At 44.8% G+C, this 24,152-nt stretch overlaps 1 protein-coding gene across 1 annotated transcript in view; it reads right to left on the bottom strand.

Annotated features, from left to right (window-relative positions):
- Positions 1-24,152, bottom strand: part of PRCC (proline rich mitotic checkpoint control factor) — a 33,281-nt gene that overhangs the window by 7,753 nt on the left and 1,376 nt on the right. The window contains exons 2-4 of the mRNA NM_005973.5: positions 10,734-10,781; positions 5,889-6,455; positions 1,271-1,366 (exon numbers count right to left, since the gene is read on the bottom strand). Of these exons, the coding sequence (NP_005964.3) occupies positions 1,271-1,366; positions 5,889-6,455; positions 10,734-10,781 (711 nt within the window). The remainder of the gene's footprint in view (positions 1-1,270; positions 1,367-5,888; positions 6,456-10,733; positions 10,782-24,152) is intronic.

Below are 24,152 nucleotides of genomic sequence, written 5' to 3'. Positions count from 1 at the left end.
CTGCAGATCCCTCCTAATAGGCTGTGACTTCCCTGCAGATAGAACAGTACTTTATATCCTGAATAAGGGCCTGAAAGTCACAGGACATTGTGCTTTCACCTTTCCTTTTGCTGAAGCTTAGGAAAGCTCAGCAGCAGTGAGAGACCATTATGTGAAACACAACGGTATTTAACATAGCTGCTTGGTGCCTCCCTAAATCCATTCTCCTCTTCTTTAGTGTGAAAGAATCCAAAATTTTTGCTAGGCATATTACCACACAACTAATAAAACATTACATTTCCTAGACCCCCTTACAACTAGATATGGCCGGCTAGATGCAGTGGCTCACGCCTGTAATCCCAGCACTTTGGGAGGCTGAGACGGGCTGATCACTTGAGGCCAGGAGTTCGAGACTAGCCTGGGCCAATGTGGTGAAACCCCGTCTCTACTAAAAATACAAAAATTAGCTGGACATGGTGGCACATGCCTGTAATCCCAGCTACTCCTACTCAGGAGGCTGAGGCACAAGAATCACTTGAGCCTGGGAGGCAGAGGTTGCAGTGAGCTGAGATCGTGCCACCATACTCCAGCCTGGGCGACAAAGCAAGACTCTGCTCAAAACAAACAAACAAAAAACAAAAAAAACACAAACAACTAGATACGGCCATATGAGCAGATTCTAGTCAGTGAGATCAAAGTGGACGTGCTCTTAGGAACTTTCAGGAAGTCTCCTAGAAAGCGAGGGGAAGTGTTCCTCCTCTTTCTTTCTCTACCCTGCTGCATCTCCAATGCCAATGTGATGGCTGTAGCTTTAACTATCATGGACCATAAGAATAAAGGCCACAGCCTAGGGATGGCAAAGCGATGATCAGAAAGAGACTGAAGCCAGGCATGGTAAATCATACCTGTAATCCCACCACTTTGGGAGACCAAGGCAGAAGGAATGCTTGAGCCCAGGAGTTCAAGTGCAGCCTGGACAACAAGCAAGACCCCGTCTCTACCAAAAAAAAAAAAAAAAAAAAAAAAAAAAGAAGGGGACTAGATCCCTGACTCTGTGGAGCTTCCAAAGCACCCCTGGCCTGCCTACCCATATCCTTCTTCCATGAAGAAAAAAACTAACTTCCTTTATATAAGCCACTATTATTTAGAGTTTCTCCATTACATGTTGCCAACCTAATCCTGATACAGTTTTGTCTTTTGTGTGTGTGTGTTTTTTTAATTTCCTTTGGCTTCAGATTTGAAATGTGGTGCCCAGCGGTCAAAGATGGTCACTTGTGCTTTCTTAACTTACTGCTTCGTCATCGATGAAGGAGGCATCTGGGGCAATTTCCTGGGGGGGGACCAGGGCCGGGTCCTGTGCAGGATAGTAGCCACCACTGTAATAATCCTGCAGCCAAACAGGAAAGAAAAACACACCAACTGAGGGCACAGTTGGAGAGGGGAAGGTAAGGTCTGTCCAGAAACAGAAAATTGTCATCAAAGAGGCAATGGTGAGATAGCTATACTACAGCTTCCTCAAACAGACCAGTTAAAGGCATAGATCCCAAGGACCGACCTACAACTCAAGAACAGTCCCTACAGCTTTTCTCATCTACACTATCCAGACAGATGGATATTTTTTAGGAAAGGGTAACAAGAAACAAAGACAGTCTCTCCTGCTTCAATCTATACCTTGCTCCCTCAGCTACTTCCTAAGAGAGACTCTCACCTCTTACCTCTACCATGCCCTCAGCCCTGCTCCTCCTGCTCATAAGACCCCAATGAGCTACGATGCGAGCAGGGACGAGAAGGTATACGTCATGCCATTCCTGCTCCTCATTCTAGTTTGGTCCTGTGGATACAGGGAAACAGTCTAAACCGGGTGGGGAGGTTATAGATCTCTGATTTAAAATAACCACTATTAGGATACAATGAAACTTACAAAGCTGGGAACAAAGCAGGTTCGTTTACCAGATTTTGAGTTCAGGAATCTCATGATTCCCCTTAGAGGCGAGTGGCCCAGATGTTGCTGCAGACCCTAGAGGAAGAGGAGGGTGAAGGCAAGGGCAAGGCCTCTGCTTGGTGAAGTCAGGCAGCCACAGGGCCAATAAACTGTTTCCTCCTTGCCTATACTTTTTCCTAATTCTTCCACTTCGTCTTAAACTCCAAGAAATGCCCTTCTAAGAACATTTGTTTTATGATGAGCTAAATGAAAATAGGTTTAATATTCACTACATAAAATAATATATAAAAATCCAGAGCAATTAGAGTATGGATTTTTTTTATAATGGTATTCACAATAAGATACATTTAAATTTCAGAGTCCCCTAGTGTATTTAAAGTGCTTTAATTTACATAGATTATCTCAGTGGTGTTTATAACTGCATATAGAATTCCAATTTGTTATTCAATTTAAATAGCATCTTTTTTATTTTCCTGCTAAAGAGGTAAAAACACTATCTTTCTCCATCCTTCTTTTTTTGAGATGGAGTTTCGCTCTTGTTGCCCAGGCTGGAGTGCAATGGCGCCATCTTGGCTCACTGCAACCTCGCCTCCTGGGTTCAAGCGATTCTCCTGTCTCAGCCTTCCACGTAGCTGGGATTACAGGCGCATGCCAGCACGCTCAGCTAATTTTTGTATTTTTAGTAGAGATGGAGTTTCATCATATTGGTCAGGCTGGTCTTGAACTCCTGACCTCAGGTGATCCGCCTGCCTTGGCCTCCCAAAGTGCTGGGATTGCAGGCGTGAGCCACCACGCCCAGCCTATCTTCCTCCATCCTTCTAAGAACAACCTTAAGGGCAGATATACTATCTCTGCTCAGCCTATAGGAAACAACAAGGCTTAACAGCAAAGATTTAGCAAACAAAATTGTTTTCAAAGTATTTGGTCAGAACAGGTTCTCCACAAAGCCCTCTCTCTTCACTCATGCCCAGATTGAAAACAATAATGCTGACCATTCAGAGAATCACAGTGGTTGAAGGGACTTAAGTCTTCCAACCATCCCAGGCCAGCAGTTTTTAAACTTGCTGAAGCTGCCCAGTCATGGGGCCAGCCAGCTGCCTCTGTTCAACTCCACCACTGGTGCCAGGTCCCCCAACTCCTGCTCCTAGGAGCCCTCTACATCTTGAGAAGCTCTGACTGCTAGGAATTCTCTCTTAAACCTACGTACAACCTGGCATTCTATACTTTTACTCTCTGGGGCCATACACATCAAATCTAAATATCTCTTCCAAACAACAGGTGAATACAACGTGAATAAAAAGTTACAATCAGCATTTATTGAACATTTACTATTTTCCAGGAACCACCACGCTAAACTAATGTAATTATTTTAGCAACGCTTTGAGTTGCTCTGATATCCCATTTTACACCTGAAGAATCTGAGACTGAGAGAGCCAGTTAAGTAACTTGCCCAAACTCAGCTTGAGATTCAAACCTCAAACCACCCTCAGGATTCTCTTTATTTATTATTAATTTTTTTATTCTCTTTATTCTTACTTTACACTCAACCCTCCAGATTCCCTTCTTTCCTCCTTGGCCCCAACTCTCCCTTCCTGTTTTTCTCAATACTCCTCACCTCTAGAAACTCTTCTTAAACTAACTGCTATCTAGACATCTATGCCATAGATTCCCTTATCCTCATCATCCACATTTCAGGAAGCTATCTTGTAATTCTAAGATTAGATACCAGTCCTCTTCCACCTTCCCTTCATACCTCTCACCAGCTCCGACATCAGATTTTGTTTTCAACATAGGGGAAGTGCTCCAGGACACTGGTCTAGGAAAAATTTTACAGCTAAGACCTCAAAAGCACAGGCAATAAAACCAAAAGTTGGCGGGGTACGGTGGCTCACGCCTGTAATCCCATCACTTTGGGAGTCCAAGGCAGGCAGATCACCTGAGATCAGGAGTTCCAGACCAGCCTGACCAACATGGTGAAACCCAGTCTCTACTAAAAATACAAAAATTAGCCAGGCATGGTGGCGGGCACATATAATCCCAGTTACTCGAGAGGCTGAGGCGGGAGAATCGCTTGAACCTGGGAGGTGGAGGTTGCAGTGAGCCGGGATTGCACCACTGCACTACAGCCTGGGTGACAGAGCAAGACTCCATCTCAAAAATAAAAAAATAAAAAATAGGCAGGGCGCGGTAGCTCACCTCTGTAACCCCAGCACTTTGGGAGGCCCAGGTGGGCAGATCATTTGAGGTCAGGAGTTCGAGACCAGCCTGACCAACATGGAGAAACCCTGTTTCTACTAAAAATACAAAAAGAAATTAGCGGGTCATGGTGGCGCATGCCTGTAATCCAAACTACTAGGGAGGCTGAGGGAGGATAATCGCTTGAACCTGGGAGGCAGAGTTGCGGCGAGCTGAGATCGCACCATTGCACTCCAGCCTGGGCGACAGAGCGAGACTCCATCTCAAAAAAAAAAAAAAAAAAAAAGATGCTGGCAAGGTTGTGGAGAAACGAGAACACTTATACACTGCGGATGGGAATGTAAATTAGTTCAGCCACCGTGGAAAGTAGTTTGGAGATTTCTCAAAGAACTTAAAACAGAGCTACCATTCAACCCAGCAATCCCATTACTGGGTATATACCCAAAGGAATATAAATTACTCTACTGTAAAGACACATGCACACATGTTCATCACAGCACTGTTTGCAATAGCAAAGACACAGAATCAACTACATGCCCGTCAACAGTGGACTGAATAAAGAAAATGTGGTACATATATACCATGGAATACTACACAGCCATAAAAAAAAGAACAAAATCATGTCCTTTGCAGCAGCATGGATGGAGCTGGAAGCCATTAAGCAAATTAACATAGAAACAGAAAACCAAATACCACGTTTTCACTTATAAATAGGAACTAAACACTGAGTATACATGGACACAAGGAAGGGAACAATAGACACCAGGGCCTACTTTAGTGTGGAAGGTAAGGATCAAAAACTACCTATTACAGCCAAGTGTGGTGGCTCACACTATAATTCCATCACTTTAGGAGGCTGCAACGGGCAGATCCCTTAAGGCCAGAAGTTTGAGACCACCCTGGCCAACACAGTGAAACCCCGTCTCTACTAAAAATACAAAAATTAAATTAGCGGGCATGGTGGAATGTGCCTGTAGTCCCAGCTATTTGGGAGGCTGAGGTGGGAGAGTTGCTTGAACCTGGGAGGCGGAGGTTGCAGTGAGTCAAGATCGTGCCACTGCACTCCAGCCTGGGCAACAGAGCAAGACTCCGTCTCAAAAAATATAAAATACAAATACAAAAATTAGCTGGGCATGTTAGGGTGGCACACATCTGTAGTCCCAGCTACTCGGGAGGCTGAGGCAGGAGAATCACTTGAACTCGGGAGGCAGAGGTTGCAGCTGAGCCAAGATTGTGCCACTGCACTCCAGCCTGGGCAACAGAGTGAGATTCCTTCTCCAAAAAAAAAAAAAAAAGGCCAAAAACCTACCTATCAGGTACTATGCTCATCACCTGGGGTGACAAAATAATCTGTACACCAAACCCGTGACATGCAATTTACCCATGTAACAAACCTGTACATGTACCTCCTGAACCTAAAATAAAGGTTAGGAAGAAAAAAAAACAGATATATATATATATATATATATATATATATATATATATATATATATATCAATCACAAATATGTACAAATATTATGGATCAATAAAAAATAAATAGATTGTTTTCAGAATAAAGATGTCATTTATGTGGTTCACCCTGTCACACTTTAAGACTTGGGCAATTTAGATTAATATGGTTCAGAATAAAGGTATGTTCTGTGGCCTAATAAATAGAGAAGGTTAATTTAGCCAAAGTGACACCACAGAGGCTGTATCACTAGCTCAAAGCTCTCCTTGACCACCATGTTCCAACATTCCCTCGCCTGCCCTCTGTGCCTCCTACCCACCTGATAATAAGCACCAGCGGCATTGGCATCGCCATATGTGGAAAACTGATTGTAGCTGTAGTCGTCCCCAGGCTTAGGCATCCAAGGGGCCCCACTTGAACCTGCTGCCATCTTGAATTCAAGGGGGGCATTGGCTGCATCGTCCTGGAAAGCCGGCTCTGGTTCCGTGCCTGGAGGCAGCTCTTCAGGGACAGTGGGGATGGGGTAAGGGTATGGCTCAACTCCAGGTGGCTCAGCCTTTTCAGGGAGGGAGAAAAAGTTTTCGGGGGCTACTTCCTCATCACTGTCGTCTTCTTCCTGCGTGATCTGCTTTGTCACCTGCAGGGCAGCACTCTTGGCAGCAGCCTTGATAGCAGAGGGCGACGGAGTGGTGGTTGTGGTGCCCACAACAGGGGCAAGAGAGGAAGTCTTGGTCTTAGAAGCCAGTCTGGAGGGCTTAGTATCAGGGGAGCCATCCGAGGGTTTGCGGGAGAAGGCATGGGGCAGGAGCAACCTGTTAGTCTCTTTCACAGTCAGGTTTTTAGGTTGGGGAAGCAAGGCAGACAAACCAGTCCCCTCACTGGATCCCTGGTGAGCCCAGGTGTGGGATAGGAGGAAAGAAAGATGACAAGTGAGATTTTATGTACTAGCAACACCAAAAACAACAGTTACAGATAAGTTCTCTAGCCTAAAATCTTACCAGCCCTTGTTTCTTCCTTACCTCCGTCCACTCAGACCACCTAATCTGGGCTTGACTCCTGCTACTTCAGGCCTTTCTGCGGGCTGCTTCTCCCAAGGTGAGGTATCATTCCTCTTCTCTTCCATCCCAACCCAGCTCCACTGCCCTCTTCCACAGAGCGAGCCTTCCTCAACTCTGTGTCTTCAACAAATACGATGCTCTTAACCTCACATCGTCCTTCCTCCCCAAAAGCCCAGGTCTCTCCAGCTCATCACTCAACCTCTCTCCGTGTCCTGAAGGGACCTCTTAACACAAGAACCCTCTCCTTCCTTTGGAATGCTACCCAAAATCAAGAACAAGGTTCTGTCTAAAAGAAACATTCATACTGTTGCAAAAGTCCCTTCCCGGCTGGGCAGTGGTGGCTCACGCCTGTAATCCCAGCACTTTGGGAGACCAAGGTGGGCGGATCATGAGGTCAGGAGTTTGAGACCAGCCTGACCAACATACTGAAGGCCCGTCTCTATTAAAAATACAAAAATTAGCCAGGCATGGTGGTGGGTGCCTGTAATCTCAGCTACTTGGGAGGCTGAGGCAGAAGAATCGCTTGAACCCAGGAAGCGGAGGTTGCAGTGAGCCGAGATCATGCCACTGTACTCCAGCTTGGGTGACAGAGTGAGACCCCTTCTCAAAAAAAAAAAAAAGTCCCTTCCCCTGACCAAGGGAGAAAGCTAACCCTGAGCGAGACCCCTCAGCAGCGCTAATGACGCCTAGGAAAGAGTGGAGGCCCAGCACGTTCAACAAGGAAGCAGTGAGTCCAGAGACTGCAAGGGGCCTGACACAGCTTTTTCCAACCCTTTAAATTGCTCTCCTTGTCACCATCCCCAAAGCAAAGGAAACAGGATTTCCTTTCTCTTTTTTTTCCCCCCCTTAGATAGGAACCTGAAGCCTCAGCTTGGGTGGGGCAGCTCCCTTAGGACTTAAGTGCTAAGGGTATTTTTTTTTTTTGGTCGGAGTCTCGCTCTATCACCCAGGATGGAGTGCAGTGACATGATCTTGGCTCACTGCAACCTCCGCCTCCCAGGTTCAAGCAATTCTCTGCCTCAGCCTCCCGAGTAGCTGGGATTATAGGTGCTCACCACCACGCATGCCTGGCTAATTTTTGTATTTTTAGTAGAGACGGGGTTTTACCATCTTGGCCAGGCTGGTCTTCAACACCTGACCTTATGATCCACCCACCTCGGCCTCCCAAAGTGCTGGGATTACAGGCATGAGCCACAGCGCCCGGCCTAAGGGTATTTTTTACTTAAGACCATAGAATTCTACATTAGCTGACTGAAAGGGTTTTTATAAGATCATCTTCAGTTCTTTTCAGACTTACTCAGCTTGCAAATTTCCCTAATCTAAGACATTACTGCTTTTTACAAAAATATGTAATTTTAGTATCTTTAGTGCCATCATACATACAGAGGTAGTTTTGTCAGCCAGAAATGAGTGTATATATATATATGCTGTATTTTTTTAATCTGAAGAAAGTCCCCTACCCTACCCAAGGAAAGCCCTATAGATGTGGCATATTAGCTTGTTAATGCCAGAGTCAAGCATTTAACTTTTGATCTGTAAGCTCACTGGCCCAGCCCATCCAGAGTTCCTATTACCCAAAAGAATCTCTCAGATTCTGCTTTCTCTATGCTAAAAGGCCCGTTTGGCCTAACTGTAGAGCTAAGGGAAATGCCAATTGGAAAAGGAGAATGGAATAAGGTCACTGTGTCACTGTCTTAGAGTACTAGTGTACTCCAGCCTTCTCAGCCAAGAAATGCCCAGAGTAAATAAGACATTTGAGTCAAGCCACACAGAACTGCTCATGTGGAGACTGGGCTCTTCTTGCTGTGTGTGTGTTCACAGATTTGGTCCAGCCTGGAAGCGCCCAGAGGCTCCGGTTCATAGGAACCACACTGAGGTACAGGGCGGAGCACACCCTCAGGCTACCTTGAAGTGTCTGACTTGTCACATATCTGGGGTCATGGCTACAACATTTTGCAGTCCTAAGTCCCCACTCTGCCTTAAGAGCTCAGAATTCCTCTATCTACTCATTTCTTCCTACCACCTGGAAGATTGTTCTTTACAGTCTTCAGTCTTACAGTGGGGGCGCCTTCTGAGCCAGTCTACCTCCTCCAGGAAGCTATCCTGGTAACAGGACTGCCTTTGCTCAGTCTCAGCACGCCAACATCTTGCATGACTCCTTTTTCATCTACTATAAATACAAACACCAGGGCCGGGCGCGGTGGCTCACGCCTATAATTTCAGTACTTTGGGAGGCCGAGATGGGCAGATCACGAGGTCAGGAGATCGAGACCATCCTGGCTAACACGGTGAAACCCCATCTCTACTAAAAATACAAAAAAATTAGCCGGGTGTGGTGGCGGGTGCCTGTAGTCCCAGCTACTCTGGAGGCTGAGGCAGGAGAATGGCGTGAACCCAGGAGGCGGAGCTTGCAGTGAGCCAAGATCGCACCACTGCACTCCAGCCTGGGCGGTAGAGCGAGACTCCGTCCCCCCCAAAAAAAAAAAAATTAAATAAATAAATACAAACATCAGCCTTGCCAGTTATCTTTCTAACTTCCACACAACTACGTCCTTCTAAAACTGCTCAGAGGTGGAAGCAACTTTAACTGAGTCAGGAGAAGGCCACTTGAATCACAAGACAGCCACTATTTTATTTTTTTATTTTTTATTTTATTTTATTTTATTTTTATGTATTTTTTTATGTTTTTTTTGACTGAGTCTTCCTCTGTTGCCAAGGCTGGAGTGCAGTGGCACGATCTCAGCTCACCGCAATTTCCACCTCACGGGTTCAAGCGATTCTCCTGCCTCAGCCTCCCGAGTAGCTGGGACTATAGGCACCTGTCACCACGCCTGGCTAATTTTCGTATTTTTAGTAGAGACAGGGTTTCACCATGTTGGCCAGGCTGGTCTCAAACTCCTGACTTCAGGTGATCTGCCCGCCTGGGCCTCCCAGTGTTGGGATTACAGGCATGAGCCACCGTGCCAGGCAAGACAGCCACTTTATAAAAGCAGGACCACTTCTGCTTTTCCCTGAGACATATGATCAACATGAGGTTAGAATGTATAAATCACCAAGTGTGGAAGGAATGGGAAGAAACTTCTGGGGGCCAGGATAATGGTACTGAGATGAGGGGAAACAGAAGCAAACAGCAGGGAAATCATCTACTAGCACTGTCTTGTTGAGGACTTCTGGTTTCAATTACAAGGAGCTGAGTGCAGCAGTTAAGAGCTTGGACTCAACAGTCAGACTGGCCAGGCGCGGTGGCTCACACCTGTAATCCCAGCACTTTGGAGAGGCCGAGGTGGGCGGATCACCTGAGGTCGGGAGTTTGAGACCAGCCTGACCAACATGGAGAAACCCCATCTCTACTTAAAATACAAAATTAGCCGGGTGTGGTGGCGCATGCCTGTAAACCCAGCTACTCGGAAGGCTAAGGCAGGAGAATCACTTGAACTGGGAGGAGGAGGATGCGGTGAGCCAAGATTGCACCATTGCACTCCAGCCTGGGCAACAAGAGCGAAACTCCATCTCAAAAAAAAAATATATATATTGTCTGATTGCCTGAGTCTGAATCCCAGCTCTGCCCACACTAGTTGTCTGATCTTGGGCAAGTTCCTCAGTTTCCTCATATGTAAAACAGGGATGATAACACTATGGCTTAGGCACTATCATGAGGATGAAATCAATTAAATGCTAGTAAAGCACTTAGAACAGTGCCTGGTACACAGTAAGTGCTATTTAAGTGCTTATTTTCCAGGTTAAAAATGAGACAGGAAGAAGACAGACAATTTTAACATCATTTTGACTAATCCACTTATTCTACCCTCCCTAAATAATCCTTTTACACTATACGTAATGAACTGAATTGAGTTACAATTCATCTCCCTACCACTGCCTGTCTTCCAGGAAAGGTAATACCAGCATGTTAAAGCCAGGAATAGAGTGGAGAGGGTAGAGATGCACAAGGTCTGAAGTTCTAAAGAAAAACAAAGCCGAACCTAAATAGTCCTCAAATATCTGTGTTTGCTCTAAGCCTAATCTGAAAACTGCTGGATACTGTAAGTCCTGTCTTTGAGGAAATAATACAGGAAGAGAAAAAAAATGGTTTATATCACAATGCTTACCTGAAGGATAGTTTTCTTCTTTGTGGGTTCATCTTCCTCAGAATCTGACTAAGAGAAAAAGAAATGAAGTAAGGCCTCACTGTTTTAGGACAGTAAAGGAAACACATTAAATATAGCACATATGAAGGGTTGGACAACAGTGGCCATCTTGTCTGTGCCCCACCTCTGTACAGAGGTACACTCACCCCAGGCCCAGTCAAACAACACAGCTCCCTTCCTGATCTCAAACAGCTTCAGAGAAATCAGGGTATGCCTTGGCCTCCCTTGATTACTCAATTCCCCTGCCCTCTCAGACCTGTTGCACAGCCTTTTTGGCATCAATTTCTTTTCTGTTAAATTAAGACTATTTCCTCCCATTTGGTCCTTGGTGGAAAGAAAAAGCTATACCCATTCTTCTTCCTATAATTCTGTCCACTAGAAGATGAATGGGAATTGGCCCACAACCTCACCCAATCTCAGCTTCACTTTTAAAACCACTTATATAGACTACATAACCACAAGGCTGGGGAACTCCAGTGGGATTGAGTGGTGTGTTAACTACTCTTCTATGAGGCATTAAAGGTCAAAGCCATTGGAGAAATCTATTCCTTCTCCAAGTATGATCTATTGTCTGACACAGTTGTTCATGTCCAGGAAGAAAGCAGGCAAATGATGACCATGAGGATCTGGGGCAAGACAGGAGGTCATCTGTGTTATCCTTCTGACTCATCAGGATTGCTTCTAAGACAAGCTCTCATGCTGAAAAATAGCTAAACTTTTAGCTCTATCTCAGTTCCTTGGCACCTTCAAGTCAAGGAGAGCCGCAAGGCATATGAATAGCAAGCTTTAACATTTTTATTTCAAAAAATTATTCCCCCAGCCATGAACCTTAAAGCTTTCCATTTGTTCCCAGGGCCTTGGTTTGGATATCTGCAAATAAAAAGGCAATTAGGCAAAATCTCAGATCCCATTCATCTCCAAGATTCTGTGAGAACTCAAATCCTCTGCTGTTCTATACTCGCTCTCATATCTCACAAGTTCCTTTTTGAATTTATCTCTTCCAAGTATCTTTCAATCATAATTACCTATTATATTCAAGACACTGTGCTAAGTACTGTACACAGCATTTCCTAACCAGTGTCCCAGGCAGGGCTTGGCCAGCTAGAGTCCTAGACCACTAGTCTCAGTCTGGACCATTTCCCGCAGTGTGCTTCAAAGATTCCGTGTGTGTGCCATGATATGAAAAAAGTACCTGCCCTCAAAGAACTTACAATCCAGTAAAAAGAATAAGTACCCAAATCACTGTAATAAAAGGTAGTATAAGGCCGGGCGCAGTGGCTCACACCTGTAACTCAGTACTTTGAGAGGCCAAGACAGGCAGATCACCTGAGGTCAGGAGTTTGAGACCATCCTGGCCAGCATGGTGAAACCTTATCTCTACTAAAAATATAAAAATTAGCTGGGCATGGTAGTGGGCGCCTGTAATCCCCAGCTACTCGGGAGGCTGAGGCAGGAAAAATGCTTGAACCGCGGAAGCAGAGGTTGCAGTGAGCCAAGATCTTGCAATCCAGTCTGGGTGACAGAGCAAGACTCTGTCTCAAAAAATAAAATAAAATAAAAATAAAAGGCAGTATAAGATAAGAGCACCAAGTGTGGTTCAGACATCCCCTCAATTAGTACTACCATTACGGAAAACCATATAGAGGTGCCTTAAAAAAACTAAAAATATAAATTTAGTCAGGCGTGGTGGTACATGCCTGTAGTCCCAGCTACTCGGAAGGCTGAGGTGGGTCACCTGAGCCTAGGAGGTCAAGGCTGCAGCAAGCCGTGATCATGTCACTGCATTCCACCCTGGGCGACAGAGTAAGACCTTGTCTCAAATACTAAAAATAAATAAAAATAATAAAATTTAAAATAAAAATAAATCTTAAAATTAAAAAAAAAATTTAAAATAAATTTAAAAAAAATTAACAATAGAATTTACCATATGACAGTGTGGCGCAGTGGCTCACGCCTGTAATCCCAGCACTTTGGGAGGCCAAGGCGGGAGGATTACTTGAGCCCAGGAGTTTGAGACCAGCCCAGACAACATGGTAAAACCCCGTCTCTACTAAAAATACAAAAGATTAGCCGGGTGTGGTGGCACATGCCTGTAATCCCAGCTACTCGGGAGGCTGAGGCAGGAGAATCGCTTGAAATCTGGGAGGCAGAGGTTGCAGTGAGCCAAGATCACGCCACTGCACTCCAGCACAGGCGACAGAGTGAAACTCCATCTCAAAATAAATAAATAAATAAAAATACAAAAGTTAGCCAGGCGTGGTGGTGCGCACTTCTCGGGAGGCTGAGGTACAAGAATTGCTTGAATCCAGGAGGCGGAGGTTGCAGTGAGCTGAGATTGTGCCACTGTACTCCAGCCTGGGTAACAGAGCAGACTCTGTCTCAAAAAAAAAAAAATAGACCAGGCATGGTGGCTCACACCTGTAATCCTGGCACTTTGGGAGCACTTCCTAGCACTCCAAAATTGGAGAATCACTTGAGGCCAGGAGTTCAAGACCAGCCTGGTCAACATAGTGAGACCCCCCCACCTCTAATATTTAAAAAAAAGAAGATGAAATAGAAAATAAAAGAGGAACCTCACTCAGAAATTTTTTACAAAACAGAAATAAATAAAAATTTAAAATAGGCCCAGTCCGGTGGCTTACACCTGTCATTCCAGCACTTTGGGAGGCCAAGGAAGACAGGTCACTTGAGGTCAGGAGTTCGAGACCAGCCTGGCCAATATGGTGAAACCTCGTCTCTACGAAAAATACAAAAAGCTGGGCATGATGGCGGGCACCTTTGCCTGTAGTCCCAGTTACTCAGGAGGCTGAGGCAGGAGAATTGCTTGAACCTAGGAGGCGGAGGTTACAGTGAGCGCCGAGCTTGCGCCACTACACTCCAGCCTGGGTGATAGAGCGAGACTTGGTCTCAGTAATGATAATAATAATAATTAAAATAATACAAATTTTAAAATTTTTTAAATTAAAAATTAGCTGGGCATGGTGGTGGCACACCTGCAGTCCTAACTACTAGGGAGGCTGAGATGAGAGGATCGCTTGAGCCTGGGAGGTGGAAGTTACAGTGAGCCAAAATCATGCCACTGCACTCCAGCCTGGGTGACAGAGTAAGACCCTATCTCAGGAGAAAAAAAGAAAAAAAAAAAAAAAAAAAAAAAAAAAAAAATATATATATATATATATATATATATTACCCGGCCGGGCGCGGTGGCTCATGCCTGTAATCCCAGCACTTTGGGAGGCTGAGGCGGGGGAACACCTGAGGTCAGGAGTTTGAGACCAGCCTGACCAATATGATGAAAGCCCGTCTCTACTAAAAATATAAAAATTAGCCAGGCATGGTGGCAGGCGCCTATAATCCCAGCTACTCGGGAGGCTAAGGTAGGAGAATCGCTTGAACCCAGGAGGAAGAGGTTGTAGTGAGCCGAGATTGCGCCATTGCACTCCAGCCTGGGCAACAAGAGCAAAACTCCATCTAAAAAAAAATTGCCATATGACAGCCTGGGCAATATGGTGAAACTCTGTCTCCACAAAAAATACAAAAATTAGCTGAGTGTGGTGGCGCACGCCTGTAGTCCCAGATACTCAGGGGGCTGAGGTGGAAGGATCACTTAAACCCAAGAAGTCGAGGTTGCAGTGAGCTGTGATTATGCCACTGCACTCCAGCCTGGGCAACAGAGTGAGACCCTGCCACAAAAAAAAAAAAAAAAAAAGAATTACTATATGATCCAGTAATTCCACTTCTCTAGGTGTTTACCCAAAAGATTTGAAATCAGTTTGCCAAAGAGGTATCTGCACTCCCATGTTCACTGTAGCATTATTCACAGTAGCCAAGTTATGGAAGCAACCTAAGTGTCCATCAACAGATGAATGGATAAAGAAAACGTGGTATTTATACACAATGGAACAATATTCAGCCTTAAAAAAGGAAATTCTGTCATTTGCAGCAGCATGGATAGAACTGGAGAACGTTATGCTAAGAGAAATAAGCCAAGCAGACAAAGTAGACAAATAGCACACGTTCTCACTTACATGTAGAATCTAAAAGAAAGTACTTCATAGAAGCAGAGAGTACAATGGTGGTTACCACTGAGGAGACGATGGTAAAAGGGCACAAAATCTCAGACAGGAAGAATACGTCTGAGGGTTTTTTTTGAGATCTATTGCACAGCATGGTGAATATAGTTAATAATAGTGTATTATACATTTCAAAATTGCTGAGAGTGAATTTCAAATGTTCTCACCACAAAAAAAATAAGCATTTGAAGTGATAGCTATGTTAGTTTGATTTAATTATTCTACAGTATTCATAAATCTTAACATCATCTTGTATCCTATAGATACAATGATAAATGTCAACTTACAATAAAAATGTTGAATCCCCTTAAAGAACCTCCTGTTTGTATTTGTGCTTCCTTTCATGTAAGTCCTTCCCCTTGTCACTCCCACCCCTCCCATATCACTGCCACCTCTCATTCTGTTATCAATCTGCATTCTCTACTTCCTGACTCGAAACTCCTGAGAAGTCTCTCTGATGACTCTCACCTTGCTCCTTTTCACTAGGTGTCCCTACATCACTCATTTGCTTAGGATGGCATCATATTAACTCAGGTTCATTTGTGCCTACTCTGTAAACATTACATTTTTCACATATATTCTTGCCTTTACTCTGACAGCAAAGAGTATTTCTTATAGTTGAATACTTCCTCCCAGTAGTCAGTACACAATGAATTTAATTACTAACTGCTGCCAAATATGTTTTTTTTTTTTAACCCGTAAGGGAAATCCATCTTAGTATCTAAATGTGGGGGATAAAGGAAAAGGGTGGCAAAGGAAAGGACAACCATCCACCAAGTGCTTCCTATGTATCAGGCAATTTACTCATTTTTCATTTAATTCTTATAATAACACTTCAAAGTAGGCATTATTATTATCTCAACTTTATGGTGAAGAAAGTAAGGCTCAGAGAGATAAAATAGGATGGGGCAGAACCAGGATCAGAACCAGTTCCAGTGCCCGTGCTTTTGCGGGAACACCAAACTGAGCTGTCTGCTGTCCAGGTCTGAGATTCACACTCACTAGATCCCACACGACACAGCTGAGAGAGCATGAAGCACAAAATCAGAAGCACTGGTTTGAGTCTCAGCTCTGCCCCTCACTGGCTAAGGGATCCCGCTATTTAACTTCCCCAAGCCTAAGGTGCAAATAGTACTTACCCATGTCACAACCACAGGAGCTACTGCCAGTGAAAATGATACAAACTAAAATTCTAAACAAAGTTCAAAAATTATTATTTTCTCTGGTTTGCCAAGATATCAAACTCACCCAAGAAAAGACTTAAGCACCTGGCACCTAAGCATTTTCTACCTTTTCTTTCTGTTCTAAACTAACTCTCATTGCTCCTTACAGACTCCTCACCATCTCTCGTCTTTTGACCATGAAGACTTATCTCCTTTCTGGCAGACCACACAGAACAACCTCACTATGGGGTATATAAGGTTTTCATGGATTCCCCAAATACGTTTAAACTTTGACATCATAGGCAACAGGTCCAATGGCAATAATCTGAAATAAACAAATTTTACCCAAATTTAAGATGATTACATTTATAAAACTATACAAGCATATTCTTATTTTTCAGATCCTTTGAAAAACAAAAAGTGGCTACTGTAAGACTGTAATAGGCAAACTGCTCCACAGCTAATAGAATTGAAGGCCAGATCCACTGTGGAAAGAAAATTCAATTTCTCTGTAAATGTCACAAATTGTTTCCATTATACTGACAACCTGAGTTTATAGTTTAAAAGCACACACACAAAAAAAAAACCTCTATAAAGACTTCGGAACAGTCTATTATTTCTAGATTTAGAGGATTGCTATGGCTACTCACAATCATTCTTCTCTTTGAACATCTTTTTCCCTTGAGACATGGTCTTGCTCTGTTGTGCCCAGGCTGGAGTAGAGTGGCGCAATTACAGCTCACTGTAACCTCAAACTCCTGGGCTCAAGCAATCTTCCTGCCTCAGCCTCCCAGGTAGCTGGGACTACAGGCACTTGCCCACCATGCTCAGTTATTTTATTTTTAAAATTTTTTTGTAGAGATAAAAGGCAGGGTCTCACTCTGTTGCGCAGGCTGATCTCAAATTCCTGTCCTCAAGCAATCCACCTGCCTTGGCCTCCCAAAGTGTTGGGATTGCAGGCATGAGCCACTGCACACCCAGCCCGAACATCTTATATAAAACTTCTACCGACCCCTATTATGAATCATCTCATGACACACCATAAATGACAGACTCCCTGAAACAGAACACTAAAATGACAACTTCAAAAATGAGGCAAGGCGGGGATGGCCAGGCACAGTGGTTCACCCCTATAATCCCAGCATTTGGGGAGGCCCAGATGGGAGGACTGCTTGAGCCCAGGAGTTTTGAGACAAGTCTGGGCACTGTAGAGAGACCTCATCTCTACCAAAAAATTTTAAAAATTAGCCGGGTGCGGTGGCTCACGCCTGTGATCCCAGCACTTTGGGAGGCCGAGGTGGGCAGATCACAAGATCAGGAGTTCGAGACCAGCCTGGCCAATATGGTGAAACCCCATCTCTACTAAAAATACAAAAATTAGCCGGGGGTGGTGGCGGGTGCCGGTAGTCCCAGCTACTCGGGAGGCTGAGGCAGGAGAATCACTTGAACCCGGGAGGCGGCGGTTGCAGTGAGCTGAGATTGCACCACTGCACTCCAGCCTGGGCGACAGAGCGAGACTCTGTCTCAAAAAAAAAAAAAAAATTTTAAATCGGCCATGTGCCTGTAATCCCAGCTACTCAGAAGGCTGAGGTAGGAGGATTGCTTGAGCCAAGGAGGCCAAGGCTGAAGTAAGCTAAGATTGTGCCACTACACTCCAGGCTGGGCAACAGAGCAGGACCCTGTCTCCAAAAAAAAAAAACAAAAGAAAGAAAAATGAGGCAGGAGGATCACTTGAGCCCAGGGGTCTGAGGCCAGCCCAGATAACATAGTAAGACCCCCATCTCCACACAAAAACAATTTTTTTTTTGAGATGGAGCCTCCCTCTGCAGCCCAGGCTGGAGTGCAGTGGCGCAATCTCGGCTCACTGCAAGCTCCACCTCCCGGGTTCACACCATTCTCCTGCCTCAGCCTCCCGAGTAGCTGGGACTACAGGCACCCGCCACCACGCTTGGCTAATTTTTTGTATTTTTAGTAGAGATGGGGTTTCACCGTGTTAGCCAGGATGCTCTCGATCTCCTGACCTCGTGATCCGCCCACCTCAGCCTCCCAAAGTGCTGGGATTACAGGCATGAGCCACTGCACCCGGCCTTTTTTTTTTTTTTTTGAGACAGAGTCTTGCTCTGTCACCCAGGCTGGAGGGCAGTGGCACGATCTTGGCTCACTGCAACCTCTGCCTTCCGGGTTCAAGCAATTCTCTGCCTCAGCTTCCCAAGTAGCTGGGATTACAGGTATGCGCCACCACGCCCAGCTAATTTTTATATTTTTAGTAGAGATGGGGTTTCACCATCTTGGCCAGGCTGGTCTTGAACTATTGACCTCGTGATCCACCAGCCTCGGCCTCCCAAAGTGCGGGGTTTACAGGCGTGAGCCACCATGCCCAGCAAAAAAATTGTTTAAAAACATAGCCAGGTACAGTGGCACATTACTGTAGTCCCAGCTACTGCGGAGACTGAGGCAGCAGGGTTGCTTGAGCCCAGGAGGTAGAGGCTGCAGTAAGCCATAATCGAGACACAACATTCCAGCCTGGGCAACAGACTGAGACCCTGTTTCATTGAAAAAAAAAGAAAAAAGAAAAGAAAAAGGGCTGGGCACAGTGGCTCATGCCTGTAATCCCAGCACTTTGGGAGCCCGAGACGGGCGGATCACGAGGTCAGGGGTTCGAGACCAGCCTGACCAATATGGTGAAACCCCGTCTCTACTAAAGATACAAAAATTAGCTGGGTGTAGTGGCGGGCGCCTTAATCCCAGCTACTCAGGAGGCTGAGGCAGGAGAATTGCTTGAACCCGGGAGGCGGAGGTTGCAGTGAGCCAAGATTGAGCCACTGCACTCCAGCCTGGGCAACACAGAGAGACTCTGTCTCAAAAAAAAAAAAAAAAAAAAAAAAAAAAAAAAAAAAGGTGACTCAAAAAAAGAAAGAAACTCCGCACCCATTAAACAGTAACTCTTTATCCCCACCTCCCCCCAGCCCCTGGTAACTGCTATTCCACTTTCCATCTCTATGAATTTGACTTTTCTAGATACCTCATATAAGCGCAACTATAAAATATTTGTCCTTTTGTGACTGGCTTACTTTACTTAGCATAATGTCTTCAAGGTCTATCCATGTTGTAGCACGTATCGGAATTTCATTCCTTTTTCAGGTTGAATAATATCCTAACGTGTGCACATACCACATTTTACCTATTCATTTGTGGATGAACACTTGGGTTGTTGCCACCTTTGGCTACTGGGAGTATTGCTACTATGAACACTGGTGTACAAGTATCTGTTTGAATCTCCACTTTTGATTCTTTTCACCTAGAAGTGAAATTGGTGGATCATCATTCTGTTTGTTTAACCTTTTGAGGAACTGCCAAACTGTTTTCCTCAAGAGTATATTAAATGGAGGTTGTGGAGTCAACTTCTAGAGAGTGCTAAAGACCAGCAAATGGCCATCTGAGTGGGTCTGTGCCATTAGATCAAGAAAGAAGGACAATGCTAGAAACACCGGAGCATCCAGGGCTGAGAGTGTCCCGGGCCACAATAGGCACACATTGGTTTTGAGGCACAAACTGTTGAGTCTGTTAATAAGAAAGTATTGTATTTCTTCTTGGCCTCACGAGAACCTGAGCCTCAATGGCCACCACTGTCCTCTCTGTTCCAGCTGCCAAGAGTGACAAGACACACATACCCCGAGACTGCTGAGCAAGAACGGAAACAGACATTTTCCATTAAGCTAGGTCCAGTGGGATCTGCTAATCTATCAGAGCCTCATTCCCCACGGCGGCCTCTCTCTTATCTTCCCAGGCTCTGGCTCTGAGACACTCCCTCTCCAAAAAGCAATCACTAGCTTCCAGGACTAAAAGCCAAGGAGGAAATAAGAACCCAAGAACAGACGCCCCCTAAGCACCACACCCCGGGGCTCCAAACCCTAATCATTACTACTGTTATCCCCATTTGCTACATTCATCAACCCTTTTTCACTCTTAAGTCTCAAGTACCTGCTGCTAGGATACCGTTTTCACTCCCATTTTTGCACTCCTCATTTGTATTGCTTTCTGCTTTCTGGCTGCCCCAGGCTCTTCCATGTTTTCCATAGACACCCCGATAAACACAACAAATCTCATCCAGGTTCAAATACAATTGCAGCTACTCACAAACTGTGTTTTCAGGCAAATCACTTCTGTTCTCTAAACTCCTGTTTTCTTCTTTATAAACTAAAGTAAGTGCCCAGCACAGTTCAGACATTAAGCAGGTGCCCCACACAGATAAGCACACTCTCCCTTCCCTTTAGCTAGGGCTAAAACTTAGCTAAATCCACTGCAGGCAATTCTTATTTGGTTACTAGAAGTGACAAAAATTAGTGAAATCTGTCTCAGAGCTTCAAATTTTCTACTATCTTGGTAAACAATCTGAAAGTGGTGGTAAATACTAATCCAGATAACCCTGAAATTTCTGTGTGCTTTGGAATACACTTTATAAATGATAGAAAACTCTTCCAGCAGACTTATTCTTCTGATTTTGGTTTCTCATATGCTAGGAGAAGTCTGCCTCCCCTGAGCCTATGAAATCAACCAGTGTAGCTTGGGTCACAGCAAGAAGGGAAAAAGAAAGGACGATTATCCATTCTATGGATCATTCCTAATTCCCCACAAAAATCAAAAGCTGACTGAATTTAATTTTGGAATACGCCTGGAGGGAGAATTTGGTACTACGCTGACTGCAGATGATTGGATAATATGACCCAAATCAAATCAACCAAATTCTCACTCCAGGAAAACCAGAATTGAGACTACCATCATAGTTCAATCTGGACTGATCTCTAAAAGGAAAGAAATCAAAACCAAGGTGTGGGTGGCCATCCTTCACCTACAACAAAGGTTAAGAAGCCAATCCGCAGAGAAATAATGAATCAAGGCCAGAAGCAGTGGCTCACGCCTGTAATCCCAGCACTTTGGGAGGCTGAGGCAGGCAGATCAGTTGAGCCCAGGAGTTTGAGACCAGCCTTGGCAACATGGTGAAACCCCATCTCTACTAAAAATACAAAAATTGACCAGTCCCATAATCTGGTCTCAAAACAAATAAATAAATAAATATATTAAAATTTAAAAATAAAACAAATTTTTTAAAAAATGAATCAGATGTGCAAAGAACAGCTGTGTAGAGATCCCCAACAGATCTCAGGTTCCTGATGCAGGTCCCTTCTGAGGTACCACAGTATATTTATGATGCATTACCATTTAAGGCTAGGCGTGGTGGCTCACATCTGTAATCCCAGTACTTTGAGAGGCCAAGGCAGGAGGGCTGCTTGAGCTCAAGAGTTCAAGACCAGCCTGGGCAATGTAGCGAGACAACGTCTCTATTTATTTAAAAAAGAAGAAAAAAAAAAAACATTTAAACTAGCTTGAGTTGGCTTCTAACACTTGCAACAAATGAAATCTAACTAACCCCCAATCTGCTCTGCCTCCCGTATTCCCTCAATAAATGGCAACACCACCCCCCAGCTGCCTGAGGCAAATGCAGTGGGGGTCAATCTTGAATCCTCTCCTTAGTGTAACATCTAATCAATCCTCCAGTCTTATCACTTCCCCCTCCTAAATATACCTCGATGCTCCAGTTCTCTCCATCCCCTAGTTCATCATCCAGGCCACCAGCCTCTCACATTCTGCCAGTCTTGCTCCCTCCAAGGTTCTCACCACTCTGTGATCAGAGAATTCTTGCCTTTAAGGGGTCTTCACAACCCCAAAATGAGGTAGAAAGACCCTAGCATGGCATCCAAGGCCCATTATCTGGCCTGAGCCTCTCTCTCTCTAGCCCCATTCTCTCAGCACTCCCCACCCTCTCAAATGCTCCAGCCACTGTGCTTTACTCACCTGAGGTTCCCTGAAAGCACTGTCCCTCTCTGTCCTCCAAGCTTTTATACATTGTTTCCTCTGCTGTGCTGCTCCCATACTACCCTTTCTTCAGCCTTATCTCTGCTTAGACATCTCCCCCCAGAGGGCTCCCCAACCTCCCAAGACTGGACTAATGCCCACTAGGTATACTCCAATGGCACCAGCTTATCACGGTCCTTCTCTGCCTTGTCCTAAAATCTATTTCCTTCTGTGTTTTCTCCAGTAGATCATAAGCTCCTTTCGGGCTGGGGCTATCATGTTCACTACTGTACATTCTTAGCTCCAGGTACAAAGAAAGAGCTCAATATCAATTGAACGAAATGGTTGAGAGTTAATTACTTCTAATTACTTCTACTTCAGCACCAAACTCTAAAGGGAAATTATTTACTTAAGGAAACCTAATTCATTCTTTCAAATGCGTACTAAGAGCCTAAGTGTAAGACATAGAGCTCAGAACTGGAGGGGCTTACATCTGGAGGGGGCACAGCTCTTTTAAAGACAATGGTTGGCTGGCGTGGTGGCTCACACCTGTAATCCCGGCACTTTGGGAGGCCAAGGTGGTCAGATCACCTGAGGTCAGGAGTTGAAGACCTGCCTGACCAACATGGAGAAACCCCAGTCTCTACCAAAAATACAAAATTAGCTGGGCGTGGTGGCACATGCCTGTAATCCCAGCTACTCGGGAGGCTGATGCAGGAGAATCGCTTGAACCCTGGAGGCGGAGGTTGCGGTGAGCTGAGATTGTGCCATTGCACTCCAGCCTGGGCAACAGGAGCGAAACTACATCTCAAAAGATAAATAAAGACAAAGGTTACCCTCACCTGACCATCTTGAACATTCTTAGGCTACCTTTCTGCAGGAATTATGTGTTCCGAGAACCAAAAGACCAACTTGAACAGAACAAAAATGGGAAACTCAACCAGCAAGGGCTAGGACTTTAATTAGCCATGTTACTGTTCACCTCAGAAATTTAGTGAATGCTTACAAAGGAGGGAGTGTTAGTCTTCAGAGTTTTCTGCCACCTCAGCCAACCCAAATGGCAGATTCTACGGCCTCTCCCAACTTTCTATAATGCTACCTTCACAGAGCTAGAAATGAGCTTTCCATGTCCATGTAGACTGTTTTTATTTGTCTCATTCAGGGATCTTTCCTTGTTCCAGGTTAAATCAAAGCCAAAGTAAGTTTCCATGGAGCAATAAAAGGCTTTTTTTTTTTGGATCCTAGACTTAGGATGAGAGACTCTCAGGTGTGAAAGAAGGGGGAAATAAAATGGAAGAAAGTGGCCGGGTGCTGCGGCTCACGCCTGTAATCCCAGCACTTTGGGAGGCTGAGGCGGGTGGATCACGAGGTCAGGAGATCGAGACCATCCTGGCTAACATGGTGAAACCCCGTCTCTACTAAAAACACAAAAAAATTAGCCAGGCGTGGCGGCGGGCGCCTGTAGTCCCAGCTACTCGAGAGGCTGAGGCAGGAGAATGGCGTGAACCCGGGAGGCGGAGCTTGCAGTGAGCAGAGATCGTGCCACTGCACTGCAGCCTGGGCTACAGAGGGAGACTCCGTCTCAAAAAAAATAAAAATAAAAAAAATTTAAAAAAAAAAGGAAGAAAGTTTCAAACAAGATTGGGAGGGAAACTCTGGAAACTCCTTCCATGAAAAATCCATATTGGAGTTCTTTCACTCACAAAATATCCATGGGAGTATTCAGTATGTGCCAGGCACTGTTTTAAGTACTAGGGTTATAGCAGTGAATTTTTTTTTTAATCCCTGCCTTCATGGAGTTTATATACTAGTGGGAGGACAGATGATGTTAAGTGCAATGGAGAAAAATAAAACAAAGAGCAATGGGGAGGAGGAGGTGATAGGAGGTTGCAATTTAAATACATAGTAGGCTAGGGAAGTCCTCACCGAAAACAGGCCTTTTAGGCCAAGTGAGGTGAGGGAGAGAACATTAGGATATCTGAGAGAAGAAATTTAAGGAACAGCAAGTTCAACGAATGGAAATGGCTCCTAGGCAGAGCTGGGAGTCTGAAGAAAAGCAAGGGCAATAAATTTCTCTCCGGTAAGTAATTCTAAGCAGTTCCTGCTCCAAGGCTTAATCTCTCCTTTATCTCCAAAGCCCTCACTCCAGGAGCCTTGTATTTTTCCACTGTCACATATAGAAACAGGTAAGACTCGCTGCCTCTTCTAGAAACAGTACCCAAGCATCCTAACTCACCTAGCTTTGACCATAGCTAAATGATGAATATGAGGCACAGATCTGAGGTTCAGAG

This window comes from Homo sapiens, chromosome 1 (genome assembly GCF_000001405.40).
Source record: "Homo sapiens chromosome 1, GRCh38.p14 Primary Assembly".
NCBI lineage: Eukaryota > Metazoa > Chordata > Mammalia > Primates > Hominidae > Homo > Homo sapiens.
This window is presented reverse-complemented; position numbering and strand designations above follow the sequence as displayed.